Here is a 19,906-nt window from a genome sequence, read left to right as displayed (position 1 = left end):
ACTTCAGCAGCTGTATTTCAGAATCACCAATCACCAGAACATGGGTTTTGGACTAGCTGAAGAATTGTTGAACCAGTGAGAGAGCTGCCTTCTGCCTCCTCCTGTTTTCCCTCAATTGTCCCAGTAAAAGTAGGTTAAATATTTAATTGGTTACTTTATTACCATGGAATTTTCAAATAAACCAGCAAATCAACATCATTATTTTAAAATTTTAGGAAATGTGATTCAGGGTTTGTCATTATTTTTTCCAAGGAAGAAATGATTATAGATATTTTCTGCAAGGGTAAATATCTGTGACTTTTCCAGTTTAGAAGCCAGCCACAGACCTTCATACACACCATCCAAAAAGGAAGAGTGTTCAGGACATAAGATTAAAAATAGTTACTATTGGTATGCACCCATTCTAATGTTTTCCCTTAGCGTCACGGGTGCCTTTAAAAGCCTTTCTACTATTTTCCTTGGGTCTTCCCAGTTTTAAAAACAAGAGCCCCATTCCAGATGATTACCAAAATGTGGCATTTGAAAAGGTGAGTTTAATCGTTGTCATAGAATTCCTTGTCTGACTTTATCAACATCATTGAGTTATGTGCATTGAGTTGTGCATATGTGAATGAGTTACTTACAGCTTGGTATTAGTTGATAGCAGGATACAGATTCTATCGGCTATATGATAAAGCTCTGCCCACTCCATTGGATGGATCTAAAGGTAGTGGGGGCATGCCTTAGTATGGGGGACTGAAGCTACATTCATTACATTCCTGTCTCATCATTTTCTTTCAGAGGCTTTTCCTTGAGAACATTAAAGCCAACTGTAGAGACCTATAAGGATGAAGGTGGTAGTTTGAGATGGGCATATTTTATATTGTTACATGCTCTTAAGTTGGCAGTGGTGTTAGTCTGCTTGGGCTGCCATGATGAATACTACAGACTGGGTGGCTTAAACAACAGAAATGTGTTGTTTCACAATCCTGGAGGCTGGAAGTCCAAGATCAAGGTGATGGCAGGGCTATTTCCCTCAGAGGCCTTGCTCCTTGGCTCATAGATGACATGCTATCTCTGTGTCCTCACATGGTCTTTTCTCTGTCTGGTGTCCAAATCTCCTCTTCTTATAATGACACCCAGCAGATTGGATTGGGCTCCTCCTTAATGGCCTCAATTTAACTTAGTCACCCATTTAAAGGCCCTACCTCCAAATACAGTCACATTGTGAGGTACCAGGACGGTTAGGACTCAACATATGTATTTTTGGGAGGAGTTCATTTCAGCCAAAACAAAGTTCACAGAAGCCACTTTGAATTTGCAAAACTGTTTCTCAAATGGAGATTACTTCATGGTTCTTCCATTTCTTTTTGAGAATAGTTTTGTCTTCATCTTCATTGGGAGATGACACATCTGCTGTTTTGTCGTGGAAGTAAGAATTGGGACAATAATAACATAATTGTCTAAATGATATTTTAGGGTATCAGGTGGTTTTGCTCTGTGAGAAAACCTCTTTAGAAATACAACGAGGGTGTCCACAGATAATAGAATGGGCCTCTGCCACTCAGGAGTCTTGGCAGTGCTTCCATTCTTCCATACTCCACCTCATCATTGATGTGCCGCCCTGTCACTGCCACCACCAGCAGGCACATCTCGGGGAAGGAGCAAGGTGGGCCTCAGAACTTCACCTGGGTCTGTGTTCAGTGCCTCCTGGAGTCTGTCTGGGTGGCATGGTCATCTCTGGGTTCTAGTAGCTGGCATGGTCAGTGCCTGTAGGTGTTCGGTGGATGGATGGATGGATGGATGATGGATGGACAAACGAATAAACTGATAATGTTGGCAAACCACTTCCCCCTTAGCTCCGCTCAGAAATATTTCAGAACATCAGCCATTGAGGCTGCTGACCTCCTCCTGGTCCCCATCATTGTCCTCCATCTTGGAGACAGCTGCTGTAGATGCCACAGATAGAGTTAAACCTTGTTTTGCTTGATGTATATTAAAAACAAGGCAAATATTTTGCTTACCTGTTTTAGCCTGGACTGGAGGGTCACCAGCACCACTCTGGCTGTGAGAGAGTACTACTTTTCTAAGTTTCCCTCCGTAATTTTTCATTTTGGGATCCTCGGTATTCACCACCTCGGCAGCCACCATGAATCATCTGGTAGATGCATTTTCAAACTCAAAAGCAGATTAGAACATCACCTGAACCACCTTCAGGTTAGAAAATGAACGTTGCTATAAAAGAAGTAAAAATAATAATTATACAAGGGCATAGGTTAAGTCTTTGAAACTGCCTGCATGGCAGATTTTACATTTTTGAACCGAGGCTGCCACAGCTGTGGCTAGTGGTTGTCTGACCCTCTTCTTTCACCTGGTGCCTTCGAGGGCCACTGAGAGCATGAGTCAGAGCACACCAACACCCAAACAAAGCACACATGCTCATGGCGCCTTAGTCCCTGGCCAGAGACACGCCTGTCTTTCATCACGTGGGATGGAGACAGTGAAGAGCCTGAGCAACAGAAGACTGATGAAGAGCTTCAGGCGTGAGATGATTGAACACCACCTAGCACCTGGCAAACGGTCTCATAGTCCCTATCCTGGGTGTTGGACCACAACGAACTGTTTGCTGACCGTGCAATTTGGCAAAATCATCAAACCTACACAAAACAAGAAACAAGCGCACAAAATAAGTGCAAAGAGGAAAAGTAGGCATTTTTCTCTAATTGCTATATATTCTGGCATAGTCCTTTGCTTTGTTTACAATAGAACTTAGAAGAAATACAGTTTTATTTAGATGGCACTAAGAGAATTTAAGATTCCTTTGCCGGCATATTTTGAACTAAACTTTAGTAGATTTACTGACAGATGTAGAAGTTAATAGCAGCTTTTTAAATTATCATGAATAATGTTTTCAATTAAAATAATATTTCTTATGTTAAGCAGGATATCAATGTTATCACAATACAGTTAAAGACAAAGGTTTTACAAGTGCTAAAATGGGATGTAAGGTATACCTCAGTGAAACTGTTTTTAAAAGTTTTATATTTCAAAAGTTTCGACATTGCAGAGAATTTAAATTCTCAGCAGTACTGCCTTAACTTTTTTTTATTATTATTTTTACTCTTTTGAAAACTCTACTTTCCAGCTTTCTCAGTTTGAGAGGACACTGAAGAGCTTTTGCAGAAATCAGACATGTCATTTTATTAGGAAAACTGATTTGATTATTGATATGCCAATTATAAAATTCTTAGTCATCCAGCACATATCTAGCCATGCAAAAAAAATTTCATATGTAACTTTGAAAGCAAAAGTAATGAAAATCAATGTGAAATTACATTGATTGGCTAAATTCAGTTCTTCTCAAAGAGTAGTAAAATGCAGTTGTTAAGAACATAGGATCTATAGGCTTTGGTTCAGAATCCTGGTTCCAAAGCTGAGTGGTGGTAGGTGTCTTCATCTGCTCGGGCTGCTATAACAAAATGCCCTATTCTAGGTGCCTTAAACAATAGAAATTTATTTCTCACAGTTCTGGATGTTGAGAAGTCTGAGGTTAGGCTGCCAGCATGGTTGATTCCTGGTGAGGGCTCTCCTCCTGGCTTGTAGACTGTCACCTTCTTGCAAAAAGGACTCTACTCACCTGACTTCACCTAACCCTAATTACCTCCTAAAGGCCTCACCTCCAAATACCATGTCTTAGTCCATTTTCTGTTGCTATAACATAACACCACAGACTGGGTAACTTATAAATAAAAGAGATTTATTTGGTTTGCGGTTCTGGAAGCTGAAAAGTCTAAGAGCATGGTGCCAGCATCTGGTGAGGGTCATCGCATGGCAGAAGGCAGAAGCTGAAGCAAGCACAGGAGACAGGGAGAGGACATGGAGCCAAACTCATCCTTTTTATCAGGAGCCCACTCCCAGGATAACTAACCCACTCCTGCAACAATGGCATGAATCCCTTTGTAAGGGCTCTGCCCTCGTGGCCTCCTCACCTTGTCAAGGCCCTACCTCTCAACACTGTTAAAATGGCAATTAAGTTTCTAACACATAAACTTTTGGGGGACACATTCAAACCATAGCACCATTGCACTGGGTGTTAGGACTTCAACATGTGAATTTTAGGGGAACAGAATTCAATCCATTAGCATTGGACAAAGTACTTAATTGAGGTCATTTGCCTGGCCTCTTCATGACAGCCTTTTTCTCTTGGGACGATGTTTTTCAAAATTGTGTGTTTCCTGGGGTGCATTCCCATACATGGCAGTGAGCAGGTGAGGGAGGGGGAGAAAGGTGAGGGGAAGCTGTGATGTGGAAAGAGTAGTAGACCTAGGTAAAAACCTGGCTGCTGTGATGGGCCTGGACTCCTGGATATGCCCTATTCTCTTGGCATGTGGGACAGTCCCCGCTCCTGGGCTCAGGCTCCTGTAGCACCTGGGTGACGTGGAACCCGAACCCTTCGCTGAATCCTCAGCTACTCAATTTTGGCAGGGGTAGTGGCTGCAGCTGAGTAGGAGTTTGTTTGCGACCCTTTGTGTTCCAAAGAAAACGCCAGCCACAGAATTTACTGTCTTACTCACTGGAGACCTTGCAAAAGTGTGGGCCCCAAACTAGGGTTTGGGGAGAGATTTATTCACGTAGGTATTATCTGGTCTCTGTTACCCAGAAAGTCATTTTTAATAAGTCATGCACTCATGACTAATCATTTTCTCCACTTAAAAAAACTTTTTTCCAGGTAGGACATAATAATGGGTCAAGCTACTTATACTTTTCCTGTTTCCCCCTTTTAATGGGAAAAACACGCTCTTTTTCCATATCTAAAATGGAATTGAATGCTTCTTGTAAAATGTACATCTCAGGGAAAAACCCATTGCTATTCTAAACCTGCTTCCTCCTATTCTTCAGTTCCTGGTACGGTGGATGTTGTTTGCGTCTTCTGACTTCTACCCTCTGAGTTGGAGACTCATAATTATTGTTAGTATGTGAGCATGCAGTGTCTGTCTTTAAACTGCTAAGACGGTGTTGCTTTTAAGCGACAGCGATTGTTTTCTTGTTCATGTTTGTGCTGTCTTCTTTGCGTCAGCTCCTAAAATAGAGGGGAGTTGTGTACCTGTTAACAACGTGTTAACAGCATTGTTGGGGTTTTTCAGACAATTTAATTGTACAAGTAAATTATTTTAAGTTAGAGCCTATTCGTTTGAAACAAAGAAAATAGTTTTTACATTTCTAAAAAAAAAAAAAAACTAATAAGTAACTGCCAACAAATGCTAGACTATATACCTGTAAAGTCAGCATTTTAATGTCATTTTCTTCTAGAGCCAGAGTTTAGTAAGTTCTTGGCCTGCTGGGAAGAAATGTAAGGAAGAGAGTGTTGTTAGGTGGGGATTTTTTAACACAAAAATATAAACTTGCCTGACGTGATTTCTCGCCATTTTCTAAGTCACTGAAATGTTTGTTATCTATTTTATTTCAGTAAATCACTTTCTTTTAGCATCCTTCAGATGGTCAAACAGCATGTTGTATCTCTGAGAAATCTCATCTTATTAAAGATTGACTGATGTCCTTCAACATTTCTATGAGCGTTTTTCAACCCACAGAGATCCAGTTAAGATACAGACAAATATCAGGATCTTCTTAGGACCTGTTTGAAATGACATGTTTCAAAGCAGCTCTGTATTAAAAGAGGTCATTCTTTTCTGTTGAACAAGAAATTAAGTGAATGCATTTGGTGTGCTGGGGCTATTCTTCGAATGTTAGAGCAACCTGTTTCATTTTAGGGCCTGGGGTCATTATTCTCCATGGGTGGCACCGCTATCCTCCCAGTGGCATTTGAAAATCCTTGCGAGACTTTGTGGTTGCAGCAAGGACTGGGGGAAAGCTGCTGGCATTTGTAGGGAGAGGGGACTGACCAGCAGGGAGGCTAAACAGTCTAGAGTGCAAGGGGCAGGGCCATGCAAGGAGAAGCTGTTTCCTCCACAATGTCGTTAGTGTAACTGCTGAGAAACAGCGGGAGAAGTCACAGGCTCAGGGAACACAAAGGATCTTTGTGCCTGGCCTGGCCAGCCCCCCACTTCTTCAAGGAAGCATACTGGGGGTCACATCTATTTTCTCAGTGTTTCCCTTTCACCCATGCCCCACATTGCAGCATTTTTCATCAGAAACCACAGGAGCCCAAAATACACTTCCTCATTTCTGAGATGCCTTTCTTAGTCAGGGCTGAAATTAGTTTTCAGTGGACACCCACACTCAGGCACTGTACTAGCAAAGCCTTTTGTTAGAAACTGTCACACTGGTGTTCAGATTGTCCTCTGCCCGAGTTTTGGAAGGGTGGGTGACAAGGGCCAGCAAATAGTCAACACTGCCCGTTGTGCAATGCTGTGATCTCCCTCTGAGAGCAAGAAGCAAACTTGAGGTGACACTGAAACAAGGGGCGGGGGCACTGAGCCTGCTTTCGTAGCTTTGCTTTGCTTTTGCCTCTTGGTTTACTTTCTATGGGGAACATATCCCACTAAGAAGGCTGGTCCAGCCCGCACCATGATGGCAGGCATGGGACTCGGGAGACGTGGTCCCAGAGGCTCTCGCTCCACTGATGGTGAGGAGTAAATGACACAGTAGGCTTTGCAGAAGTGAAGTCAGAAATCAGAGGGCTCCATCTTTCAACCACTCCCTGGCCTTCAAGGATAGATCTTGGAGTTCACGTCATACAGTCTTTAAAAGGCTCTCCTGCCCACAAGGTGCCCTCACTACCCCTCTTCCACGTGCGTCCCTCGCACTGCTGTTTGCTGAGACTTACAGCCCCGTCCCATGTGTGACTTTTACTCCAACCCGAGGCGGGTGCTTCCTGACAGCAGGGCTGGGTCTCCTTTACTTTCTATCTTGGGGACCAGCAGTCTCCTCTGACAAGGAAGAGATTCAGCAAAGGCTCGTTGAGACCAGCCTGGGTGACACAGTGAGACCCTGTCTCAAACAAACAAACAAAAACCAGCAGAGTTTCTGATTCAGTAAATATATATTAGTTTTCTATTGCTGTGTGACAAATTACTACAAATCTAGTGGCTTACAATGCCCATTTCTTAGTTGACAGGTCTGTAGGTCAGAAATCACCATGTGCACAACAGGGTTCTCTGCTCAAGGTTAACAAGGCTGGAACCGGTTCTCTCCTGGGCTGCGTTCCTGTCTGGAGACTCTTGCGGAGAATCTGCTTCTAAGCACATTCAGATCCCCGTGGCCACTCTAGCTCCTTGAGGCCACTCTCAGTCCTTGCCACATGGCCCCCTCCATCTTCAGAATCAGCAACAGAGAATGTCTCTCCCATCCTTTCTCCGACTTCAGAAAGAACCCGGTCCCTTTTAAGTGTTCACCCCACATAATCTCCCAGGGTAATATAACCTAACTGTGGAAACAGAATCCATCACAGAGTCCCGGGATCATGCAAAGCTTGTCCACCAGGGGGCCATTTGAGAATTCAGCCTACCACAATAGGTAGGGCAAGAATTCTGGCAAGTTGCCAAGTAAGGCAGCTACTGCTGCTGTGGCAGCCACAGTCTGAAAAGCACCTACCTATGCACATTCTACAACAACCTTTGACTTAGATTGTTCCCAAATTGCAAATGAGGAAACTGAAGTTCATAGGATTCAGTCTAGAGATAATATTCATAGCACATAGTAACTGGTACCTCGTGGGCACTGACCACTCCGAATGGCTAGCAGGCAACTGACTCTGGCTGTCAGTGCCACTGTGGTCATCTTGGCCAGCACCACCAGTTGACTGAGGACCCCCAGCAAGTAAGGACTGCAGCCAGGGTTCCTGCCCAGGCCCATCTGACACCCAAGCCTGAGCTTTGGCCACTTCACATGCTAGGATTAAAAAGAAAATGTCATCCCTCGAAGCCTAAGTCAGGAGAAGAAGAAATAAAAGGACAGCAGTTTATTGATTCCAAAGCCCAACTTCCTTTGAACATTCTAGCTGCTGGATGTTCTATAAAGCTACCTTTCTCCAGTCTTAAATTTGTATTTGCTTCCTGTTGCTGATGTAACAGATTACCAAACAATTTTAGTGGCTGAAAACAGCACAGATTTATGACTGTACAGTTCTGGAGATCAAACTCCAAAATCAGTCTCAATGGGCTAAAATCAGGTGTCAGCCTGGCTGCGTTACTTCTAGGGCAAAATCCGTTTCGTTGCCTTTTCCCAGGTTCCAAAGACTCCCACTTTCCTTGGCTCATGGCCCCATATCACTCGAATCTCTGCTTCCATCATCCTGTCTCCATCTCCGACTCCAGCCCTGCCATATCCTGCTTATAAAGACACCTTGATTACACTGGGCCCACCCTGGTAATCCATCATCTCCTAGTCTCAAGATCCTTAGCTTAGTCACACCTGCAGAGTCCCTTCTTCCATGTATGGCAACATATTTACAAGCTCCAGGGACTAGGGAGGGGCTGTCATTCAGCCCAGCTCATAGTCTGAGGCCCACACCTATGTGGATCATAACAGTGAACGCTTTCATGGAAACTTCCTATGCACCAAGCCTCAATGTAGGCATTAGGTCAATTTGTGCCACCACCACCACATGAGGTAGGTCCTGTGATTATCCTCTTTACAGATGAAGAATCTGAAGCACATGGGACTTGAGAACCTTGCCCAAGGTCACACAGCTAAGAAATGGAACACCAGGTTCAGACCCAGGTGGCCTGGCTCCAGAGTCCATACTTCTACAACTCTGTTGTACACCTCTCACAGATGTGCAAGTAAAAGGCAGACCCTACATATGTAGATGGCAAGAAGCCCCACACCCACCCATCTCTCCTTCCTCTTACACCCACTGTTCCACTAAGGACCCTGCTTACTCAGGTGACCTCGCCTTCTGAGTCTAATGAGTTACAATCCTTGCCACTTCTGCCCATCGCAGAAATGTTGTTCCAGTTACTATTGCTGCACAACAAGCCACCCAAAACGTAATGGCTGTAAATAACAATAGTCATCTGTTTTGCTTGTGAATCTGCAGTTTGCACAGAGATGATTCTTCTCTCCTCCATGCATCATCCTCTGGGTTTCCCTTGGCTGGCGACTGGAGGGTCCACTCCCAAGTTGTCACACTTATATAGCTGGCAAAAATACCAGCTGCCAGTGAGGAGCTCAGCCAGAGCTCTGGGCCAGCAGCCTCAGTTCGTCTCTGTATGGGCTCTTCATGGGCTGCTTGGGCTTCCTGAAAGCATGGTGGGCAACTGGGTTCCAAGAGGAAGTGCCCCGAGAGAACAAGGCAGAAGGGCATGGCTTTTTATGACCTAAACTTGGTGTCTTTTCCACCATATAGTGTCACTTGAGGCACTCACAAAGGTCCTCCACATTCAAGGGCAGGGGACATACATTCCTTCTCCCAACAGGAATGGCAAGGCTGTAGGAGAGCATGTGGAGTAGGAGACAGTGTTGCAGCCATCTTCAGAGAATTTGTTCTTCCAGAATTGTCTTTATCATAGCTACCTATGACATCCCACCACACCACACATGGCATCCTCCCCACCTCACCTCTGTTTATAGGCACTTTCCAAGCCCAAATTTGGGTGTATGCAGAAACACAAGATTTTGTCCAATGTATTTATTTTTATGTCCTTACCAAAATTTTAAAAATGTGTTGCATGAATAGCATTAAAAAAATTTTTTTTATTTATTTTATTTTTTTTGAGATGGAGTCTCACTCTGTCACCCAGGCTGGAGTGCAGTGGCGCAATCTGAGCTCACTGCAAGCTCCACTTCCTGGGTTCACACCATTCTCCTGCCTCAGCCTCCCGAGTAGCTGGGATTACAGGCACCCGCCACCACGCCTGGCTAGTTTTTTGTGTTTTTAGTAGAGACAGTGTTTCACCGTGTTAGCCAGGATGGTCTCTATCTCCTGACCTTGTGATCCACCCACCTCGGCCTCCCAAAGTGCTGGCATTACAGGCGTGAGCCATCGCTCCCGCCCCGTGAATAGCATTTATTTTTAAAATGAAATATGCAAAGGTAGGATTTCCTAAGAAATCCAGGACATCCGTTAATAGATATTAGCACTAACCCAATGCCATGCAAAAAAATACAAGCCATCAAATTTGTTCAAAATGAGTAAAGTATATATGTCCTTTAATAAAAGCACCTGCTTATTTGATGCCACATGACAGTGGATGATAGTGGAACGTTAACTAACTAGTATAAGCGCCTACACTGAGCAGATTCTTGTGTAGGTTGATTGGGGAAAGCTTTCCTTATACCTTTTCTTTTTAGGTAGTAATGAGGAAATGCAGAGGTATATCTTTTTCCCACTTATTTAAAGCCTAACCCTATTCTCAAGTCCTTCATCTGTAGGACTTTTTGTAACTGGACCAATTGGAGGTTGAGATGGGATTCTTATATACCTAGCTAGACTTTTCTGATTGCTACGCTCCACTTCTAGTATCCTGAGCTCTGAGTGTCTGTGACACACAAGAGAGATCATTTATATTATCACTGGAGCTGCAGTCTCATCACTCAAGCTTCCATCTTAAGCCCCTGTAGGGACAGAAACTGAGGCTTTTGGAGGCCCTAGTAGACTACTGAGCACCTGGTCATGGCTTAGTATTTCTTGATTGATTTCACTGTGAGCTTTTTTTTCTTTTTGAGACAGAGTCTCGCTCTGTATTCCAGGCTGGAATACAGTGGTGCGATCTCGGCTCACTGCAACCTCCACCTCCCAGGTTCAAGCGGTTCTTCTACCTCAGCCTCCCAAGTAGCTGGGATTACAGGCACCCGCCACCCCGCCCAGCTAATTTTTGTATTTTTAGTAGAGACAGGGTTTCACCATGTTGGTCAGGCTTGTCTCGAACTCCTGACCTCATGATCTGCCCACCTCGGCCTCCCAAAGTGCTGGGATTACAGGAGTGAGCCACCACGCCTGGCCCACTGTGAGCTTTTTGAAGGAATAACCATACCTTCCTCATCTTTATATCTCTAAGGAAGAGTCAGTTACTTGGCTGCATGCATTTGTTCAACAAATGTTTATGAAGGGTTTTAAGGGTTCCAGGGTCTCTGGCTTGGTCTACCCTTAGTTCGGTGAAGGAAATCAATTAAAGTGTGGTAAATACTAAGAACTAGGGGTAATTTTACCCAGCCAAGGAGTTCGAGAAGTCACGTGGGAGATCTTTAACAAATGGTGGTTGAATGAATGGAGACATGAGTGATTTCTTGGAAGTCTGCCCTTAATCCCAGTCAGTCCATGCAAGAATCTGCTCAGTGTAGGTGCTTGAACAATACGTAGGCAGCACCCAGCCCCGGAAGAGCCCACCTGTGCAGAGAATTTTCCCCTGTAACTGACTTACTGCCTGGAATTTTCCCCTTAGCAATGCATTCCTTTGAGATGCAGACTGATCTCCAGAATTTGCTGATTAAATACAAATTCTCTGGGAAGGCCTTATATATTAAACAACTGTCATCATTAATGCTGTAATGGGGAGAAGTTTATTATGTAACCTTCCAGTCTTGTTAGAAAGGAGATTCAGAGGAAGGGGTCATCCAGGGAGAAAGAAAAGGGGCTTGGATGTGATTCTGGGACTGCAAGAAGAATGGGGAAAATAATGCAGGTGAGCAAGGAATAGATGTAGGGACATGGCAGTGACAAGAAACAATTCAGATGAGTGTCCCCTGGCACTCAGACAGCCCTGACTCCAGTGAGAATGGCTCAGCCAACACTACTGATTAAATGAGAATTTCACCAGATAAAGATGGCAGGCAGGAGAGGTAATCAAAGAAAGACAAAATCAGTATTTTCTGGTGAAATCCCTGTTTCTAGGTATGAAATAGGATTCTTTCAATAACTAGCACTCCAAAATGTTAATGGGTTAAAATGAGCAGGTTTAGAGATTGTGCATAACAGATACAGAGCAAATATTAAAAGCCGTGATACCAAACCACTACACAAAAACAGGCAAAGTCGATTTTCTCTCCAACTAACCTTTACCCTTACATATTGTGTCTGTTAACCACGGTTACCTTGACCATTGATATATAGCATCTAGTGAGGGAAGGGGAAAGGAGAAGCTTTTTTGTTATTATAAAAGTAATAAGTGTTCATTGTGGAAATTCATGCTAGAATCTAAATAATCCAAATCCAAATAATCAAGAAGAAAAACACAGGAGTCTTCTAATACTATCACACATATTCTTTCTTTTCACCAAAATGAGAACAATAAACATTGCTTTGTAACCTGGTTTTTTCTCCTAACAGCAAGTCTTGAACATCTTTTCATGTCATTAGTTTTCACCACCTTACTATGAGTGGCTCTATAGTCTACTGAATGAATTTAGCATGTATATTATCTGATCACGGATCTTGATGTATTTTATTTACATAAAACTATATTTTTGCATATTTTATTTGCCTTGCAGGAACATATTTGCATCTAATGTTTGCCCACAGCCATGAGGATTTCTTTAGAATAAATTCCTAGGAGTGAAATTGTTGAGTCAGTATTCGGGATTTGAGTTGATGCGGTTTATACTGAAAGTTTAAACTGTTTGAATTTACCGCTAATCTTACCGATATTCTTCTTGAAGCTCCTTACATGGATGATGAGCTAATGATTTGGAGTGGAATAAGCAGCATTTTTGTAGTGTTCAGTTTAAAGGCTGTCACATTTCTGAGACTTCAGATGATTAACTTAGGGTGCAAGTCTGGAGCCTTCTAATTCCTTGAGCTTGGGCCTTGCGGGTTGGTCGGTTAGCTGGTCGGTGCACTGGTCACAGTGACACACCCCAGGTCACTTCAGAAAAATAGAATTTGTCTCCCAGCCTCCCTTGACAGTCAGCCCTGTTGGGGCAGAGCAAAGCCACCTTGCCCAAGTTCCACCCCCTTCTCAGGGTAGCCCCTTCCCAGAACTGACCAACGTGGGGGTATCAAGGCCCGGTCCTCCTGCTCCGATAAGGGTCGTCTCATCCTCAAAGCTCCCTGTAGAGTCGGCTAGGCTTCCACTAGGACCACTTGGTAGCTTCACTCTCCCTCTGCCCAGTTTCCTTTCCCCTCCCCACCACTCGTCCTAATAACCTCCCCTGCGCAAGAACCTCTGTCTTAGAGTCTGGAAGCGGCCAGTACCCATGGCGGGGAGTGGATGGGGAATTGGCTGGGGAGTTGGCAGTAGCTGTGGTTGATCACAGTATGTGCCACATAATTTCACCTCTACAGAGGACAGTAGAGCCACTGTGTCCTCCCTCAGGATGGAGGAGCCCACGGTGGCTTGGACCAACAGGGAGCGTTTCTTAAATGGGTGAAACAGGCACAATCTTCCCATCATTTTCAACATAAGGAATAAAATGTACCATAGATTTGTACAAGAGCAGTTTAAAATGCTCTCTTCTCCGAATGATCTTTTAAGAAACTATCTTAAAGACCACACTCTGAAAACACCTGGACCTCAGGCTCCTTTCAAATTGTTTTTCTGTGTCTTCGAATGCCATTCCTGACAAAACTTTTTTTGCCTCCATGAATCATGAGCTAATTCTGTAGAAATCTGTAAGTGAATTACAGTTCAGATTCTTCCTCTGTCTTCCTCTGACATGGCCCAATCATTTCTTAATAATTGCTAAAGAAACCAACTGTGGTTTATGTTTGAGCAGAATCAAGATCGTCGCTATAACCATGTCACCACCATTCCCTGGCATTTACAGCATAATTTCAGGAGTGGGAGACAACATTTCACAGATGCCCAGGGAGTCACCCATAGGAATGTGATGTGCCCATACATGGGCCAGATGAAAAAATAAGTACACACACACACACACACACAATTACCATGTGGGAGTGAGGGCCATGCCCTCTCCATGTATAATTCGGTGTAAATTGTTAGGCATAGAACAGCTTGAGCCCCAGAGCTGGGTAAACTTCTCTGCCTGTACGCCTGGCACCTCACACCATGGCTGGCCCTAGCAGGTGACTAATCTGTTTTTGATGAATTACCAAATTAAGCCACAAATTGAAATGCCCTGGGGGCTGGTCAGCCAGCAGCCATCATTGGTGGAGGGGCGAGTAGACCACAGACAGTGATGAGGCCTGGGGTATTTGAAGAGCATGGGTTCCCCAACAAGGGGCATCTGCTCGGCCACAGTGAAATGGAGCTCTGGGCCCAGGGTGGCCACATCTCCCCGGGCCACCACCACCAAAAAGAAGTCAGAAGTTCTATTTCTGTGTGACACCTCCCAATTTTTCAATATTAACAACTAATTTTCCGTCAATGTTAATGGGCTACAGTTCACCAGGAGAAAACTAACTGGGCCATTCTAGGCCTGATGGAAAGGGAACAGCTCTTAGGAATCAGATACTCGGTGCAAAGATGTGTGCCCACATTTTAGTCACTTGACGGGAACACCTAGATTTTCCTGATGAACCAGGTTGGCACAGTTGTTCTCTCTTTGGGTGGACAGAGATAATATCCAAGTTGTGGTGGGGTCTTGCTTGTTCTTTGTATGTAGTTTATTGTTCCTTCAGTATGTTTTGAATCATTGGTGACCTTCATGAAGATGACAGGACATGCTTCCTCGTGTGACTTGTTATCAGGCTTTTAAGTCATCAGCAAAGAATGCAGGCCAAATGCAGAAAGAAAGCGTTTGCAGTGCCCTGTTGGGACTTCTCAACTGCAGACATGGAAACAGGGTGTGTGTATGGTAATGGAAATAGCAGGTAAGAGCACATAACTCACTTTTCTCCCAGCACTTGGTGAAAAAGAAAAAACAAACCAACAACAGAAAACCATTTCTGACCTGCCTCTTGAGTTTTGAAACTGGGTGTGGATACAAACGATCTTTAGCGAAGCCATTCAGAACTGGGTTTTCTGTCTTTATTGAAGAGTTGCAGATTTTGATCTTGCTCATTTTTTTCCCCTTCCCTCCATGACCCTCTCACCTTTACTCCTCCGCTGACATTCAGCCAGCTATTCACCAGGTGCCGGCGTGGTGTGTGCCTGGACCCCTCACTGCGCCAGCCTCCCTGGGAGAATCATCTCCTCTAAGGAGAGTATGGAATGCTGCAGCGGAAGGAAAAGGTTTTCCAGGCAGCATTAACCCTGGAAAGTAGAATTCCTACTTTGCGTGTGAAGGACTGACTTGTTGAGAATGAACCAGCCGTGGGGTTGTGAAAGCTGCTTAGCGCAGGGATGAGGGCTAACCAGACACTGGTGTTCCCTGGGCCTGAGTGACCACAGCCAGCCCACTCCTGGGTGATTGTTCTTCCCCAGGTTTTTGCTGCTGCAGTGCTGTGCCCCTGGCTGAGAATGGCATCAAAGCAGAAATTAAAGTCAGTAATTAAAGCAAGGTGGCTCTGGAAAGAGAGAACAAATAAAGGGTAATTAATTAGGGTGGCTTTGGCCCCAGTAATCTCCAAATAAATGTTGCCTCCCCTAATCCTCATCTGCTGGTCTCCAAGTCATTAAGTAGAGTTTTGATTTGCCTGTGGCTATTTTTTCATCTTAAACATTGCAAGCAGTGCGTTTCCAAGAAGTTACAGTGGGGTGGTTAACCTTTACATATTAAGGAAAGATTGAGGCAATACGGAATAAGAGTTAATGGAATTCTGAGCGCACATGGAATTTAACAAACAAGATGAAATCTAGTATGAACTGTGACCTCAGTCTTAAGATGTACATTTGTACACACTCTTCCTCCCTGTTTTTCCCAATTATTTTATTTTTCTCTTTTCTTTTTTATTCTTTTTTTTTTCTTTATACTTGGATTTTTTTTTTGTTTCTACTGTGTTAACAGATCATGATCACCATTCTGCTAAAAAAAAAGTCTTTAGCATTTTCACCTTTAACAACATGAATATAGAGCAGGCATAATTGCAGCCATCATTTTGGTCACTGGCATAAATCAGCCACTCAGATTTTTTATCTAAGGAATAAAAGTTCTGTGTTATCCCAGAAATACATATTTGTAAACTCTCTTGTAGTAATTCAGGCAAAGTATCAAAAGATACTTCAGCGTTTCTTATTTTTTTTTCAAAGTATCAGAACTGTGCCTGGCTGAAGTTTAATATCAGTTATTGTGTTTTCTTACAGAAAATTAATACTCATTAAACTTCAAAGTGTTTTTTTAAACAATTTCATTATTTCAGATTTAGAATTCTTAGTTGTCATTCTCTGTAGTTGCAGAACCAGCACCTCCCGTATTTTCTCCGGGGCATTCTGGTTAACACCTTCAAAGCCCATCAAAAAAAAAAAAGGTTATGTGTTTTGCTTTATACCACTTCCCTGTGGCCAAGCAAATTTTACCAGTAAGAGAGCAATACTAAGAGAAATACACTCCTGAGCCCATTTCCTGATTGCCCTAAAAGTGAACAAAAATAGAAATTCCTTTAACTATATCAAGAAGAATGTTCTTCTGTTCTCTTTCTTACACTTGCTTATCATGAAAAAGCCTAAAGAAAACTGGGAATTTAATCACACTATTGCTTAAACACATGGTCTCCAAGTGTTTTGGATTATGAACCTCCTTGGTAGAAGATTTTTTAGTACATCTGCCAGTAAAGCATTTTATTTGTAAATTCTATACAAATTCTCCTATATGCTGGATACTTTATGAAACATGCCCTAAAGACAGGTCCTTAAGGTGGACATGCATCCAATTGACTCTGCTCTTCCTCTTGTCATGGGGTTGGTGCTGGAGATCTCTGCAGTGTACCCATAAGAAGAATCCTGGCCCTCAGCAGTGTCCATGTGGTCGGGCCTCCCAGTCTCCATGTGATGGTGCGGGCCAGTGCCTGGCATCCTGCTAGGCCCCCCACAGCAAGGACATAGGAAGCACATCCGGGAATGTGACACCCACAGAGCACACATGTGGCCCTCAAGCACAGTGCTTCCCCTGAGGCCTGTGAGAAATGTCATCACAACCCTACACCACCTCCTGTGACCACAATGAATGGCCTGGCCTTTGCTCAAACCACAGACAAAGGCTGCCCTTCAGTCTGTCACACCAGAAGCCATGGCCTTTTGATGCCCTGGTGAATTCTGGCTCTTGGTTTGCATCAGATGAGCCCCCACTGGTGCAGTTCTCCGAATTTTGGTGTCATTGACTTGCACAAGCTTTTGTCTACATCTCTGGGGAGCTGCAGAATAAGCTGCATTGTCCTCATGAAGCTTTTGTTGTAGTATGAAGATTGCCAAGTCCCAACATGACTATGATGCCAAGCAGACTATGGTGACAGCGGGAGGTGGGAGTCACCAGGTTACAGGTGGGAAAGAACACTTAGTTGGGGGATGGGGGAGCTCCTGGAGGAATTGGACTTAATGATAGGCTTTAAAGGATGAACAAGAGTTCAACAGGCAGGAATGAGACAGGGAGGAGCTGGCTGAGGAGCTTTAGAAAGTGGGTACTGCAGAGGGGGTCCCTGGAGGAGGTATGGACACTGGTTGGAGAAGAAGCTCCCACTGCCCTGCCTACCCCAGCTGTCTCCTCATGGGTACCTTGCTTCCCCCTCGCCCCTTCGCTGTATTCTGAACACAGAAACCAGAGTACTTCTGTAATATGGAAATCATGTCATAACAGACCATGCTAACCTTTGCTCAAACCCCCTTATGGCTCCCACTTCTGTAGAATACAAGCCAGGGTCCTTCCAATGGCTAAAGGTCTCTCTTGTCCTCATTCCCAACCACTTTCTCCATGACCCTCCTCCGCAGCCACCCTGAGCCTCCTTGCTGGGCTTGCAGCATGCCAGATTCTCCTGCCTCAGGGCCTCCACACCTGCTGTTCCCTGGGCCAGAATGCTGTTCCCCAGCATCCAACGGTTCACTCCCCTACCTGCTTCAGGTCCTCATGCACTCGCATGTCCCCTTCTCAAGGATGCCTTCCCTGGCCGGGCTTGCTTTCACCACTTTTCCAGCTTTTCTGCCCCTCCGCGCTGCTCTGTTGCCCACACTCAAGGCTGTCTAAACATACTGTGGATTGTACCCATCTATCTTGTTTTGTGTCTTTTTTCCCCATCTGGAATGTAAGCTCCAAGAGGGCGGGGAGTTTTGTCTGTTTTGTTCATATTTGAATTCCTAGTACCTAGAACAGTGTTTAGACAAATGAATGAATAAATGGAGGGATGCGTGAATGAATGTGAACCAGAAGGCTTAGGTTCAACTTCAGGAGCAAAGGGAAGTCATTGAAGGTTTGTTTTGTTTAAATATAGCATGTTACCTTTTATTTACTTAAAGTGGGGGAAATAAAATCATAATTGCTTTTATTTGATTAAAAAAACCCCAAAATAATAAAAATGGTTTAAAAAAATGAGGTTACACCTAACAGGCAGAGTGAGAATGGAGTGGACAGGGACAGAGGTAGGAAAAGCTTTCTCAGTGTATCCTATTTAAGTATATTTTGGGCCTGGCGCGGTGGCTCACGCCTGTAATCCCAGCACTTTGGGAGGCCAACGCAGGCAGATCATGAGGTCAGGAGATCAAGACCATCCTGGCTAACACGGTGAAACCCCATCTCTACTAAAAATACAAAAAATTAGCCGGGCGTGGTGGCGGGCACCTGTAGTCCCAGCTACTCGGGAGGCTGAGGCAGGAGAATGGCGTGAACCCGGGAGGCGGAGCTTGCAGTGAGCCGAGATAGTGCCACTGCACTCCAGCCTGGGCGACAGAGCAAGACTCCGTCTCAAAAAAAAAAAAAAAGTTTATTTTGTTTTTTATCATATGACTGTATTATCAAATTTTAAAAATATTTGTTTAAATGAGACTGATAAGGTGGGCAGTGGGGGGTTGGAATTTGCAATGTTCGAAAGTAAGATCCAGGAAAACTATCCAAAGTTCTACTCATCTTAGTGGCAGGGTTTACACTTCATTTATCTATTCTTTTCTAGAGTATCTACAATCATATCTATCATGTAAAAGGCTATTCAGTATTTGCTGATCAAATGAATGGATATGTGAATGAGATGACATCTGTCGTCAAATGTATGAATGACTCTTGTGTCAAAGAGGAACTAGTTTTTAGTTCTATGTGATCAAAGTAGAAGCAGTGGATGACAGTGACAGGAAGAAAGACATCAGTTTGTTTCTTTAGCTGGCATTTTTGAGAGACTATTTTGTACCAGCACCAGGACTATCAAGTGGAATAAGATGTGGCTCAAGCCGTCAGGAGGTTCACCGTTTAGAACCAGGGTGTCATCACATAGGTGGTCACCTACTGAAGTGAGCACGGTGCTGGAGACAGACGTAGGAAGTTTGGAGAGTGCTTAACAAACCTTGGACAAGGGTATGAGTGGGTTTGGGGTGACAAACATTTTTTGCTTGGCCAAATTTGGGTCAGGTTTCTGAACCTTTTCCTAGGCTCACCTGTGCACTTCCTTATAAAACCCAGTTTTAGCAAAGAACCCCGCAAAGTCAGTTTAACAGGAACCCCCCCACCCTTAATATCTGATTGGGTTCTTCATCTTCTACCATCCGTCAGGTGATGTCTGATCACCCGGGCCTGTCTTCAGCAAGAATCCTATTAGGTCAGCTTAGCCAGAGTCCTCTTTACCCCGATGCCTCCTCTTAGTAATTTTCCACCACTGACCCTGACACTGCTTCTTGGCCATGCTGTATTCGGAGTTGAGCTCAATCTACCCCCGCCCCCAGCCCCCACTGCAAGACCTGGTTGTGGTGGTCTCTATACCCATCGTGGTGGTCCTGAATAAAGTCTGCCTTGTCGGGCTTCAGCAGGCATCATTGAATAATATTTTTTTAACACGGGGGGTCATTGTTGGCTTCCTGGAGAACGACATGCCTGCACTCAATCTTAAGGAAGGAAAGGAAAGGGGAGAAAGGAGGAATAATCCAGGGAGAGGGAGAGCACGAGCAGAGACTTGGGGAAGAGAAGAGGGGAGTGTGTTTTGAGGCATATAAGCCATTTGTCTTGGAGGAACATAAAAGTGAGAGCAGCACTGGCAGGATATGTGACAAGAAAGACA

At 44.1% G+C, this 19,906-nt stretch overlaps 1 protein-coding gene across 3 annotated transcripts in view, besides 3 other annotated features; it reads left to right on the top strand.

Moving 5' to 3' along the window:
• Positions 1-19,906, top strand: part of RCAN1 (regulator of calcineurin 1) — a 98,672-nt gene that overhangs the window by 63,524 nt on the left and 15,242 nt on the right. The window lies entirely within an intron of this gene.
• Positions 4,226-7,924: an enhancer, noted in NCBI's record as "VISTA enhancer hs2084". NCBI's record gives its function as "enhancer in: other[4/5]" and the evidence as "EXISTENCE:transgenic organism evidence [ECO:0001131][PMID:17130149]".
• Positions 7,404-7,553: a silencer, noted in NCBI's record as "silent region_13268". NCBI's record gives its function as "represses an Ori minimal core promoter by ATAC-STARR-seq in GM12878 lymphoblastoid cells {active_cell/tissue: GM12878}" and the evidence as "EXISTENCE:reporter gene assay evidence [ECO:0000049][PMID:35858748]".
• Positions 16,630-16,859: an enhancer, noted in NCBI's record as "active region_18395". NCBI's record gives its function as "activates an Ori minimal core promoter by ATAC-STARR-seq in GM12878 lymphoblastoid cells {active_cell/tissue: GM12878}" and the evidence as "EXISTENCE:reporter gene assay evidence [ECO:0000049][PMID:35858748]".

This window comes from Homo sapiens, chromosome 21 (assembly GCF_000001405.40).
Source record: "Homo sapiens chromosome 21, GRCh38.p14 Primary Assembly".
Lineage (NCBI taxonomy): Eukaryota > Metazoa > Chordata > Mammalia > Primates > Hominidae > Homo > Homo sapiens.
This window is presented reverse-complemented; position numbering and strand designations above follow the sequence as displayed.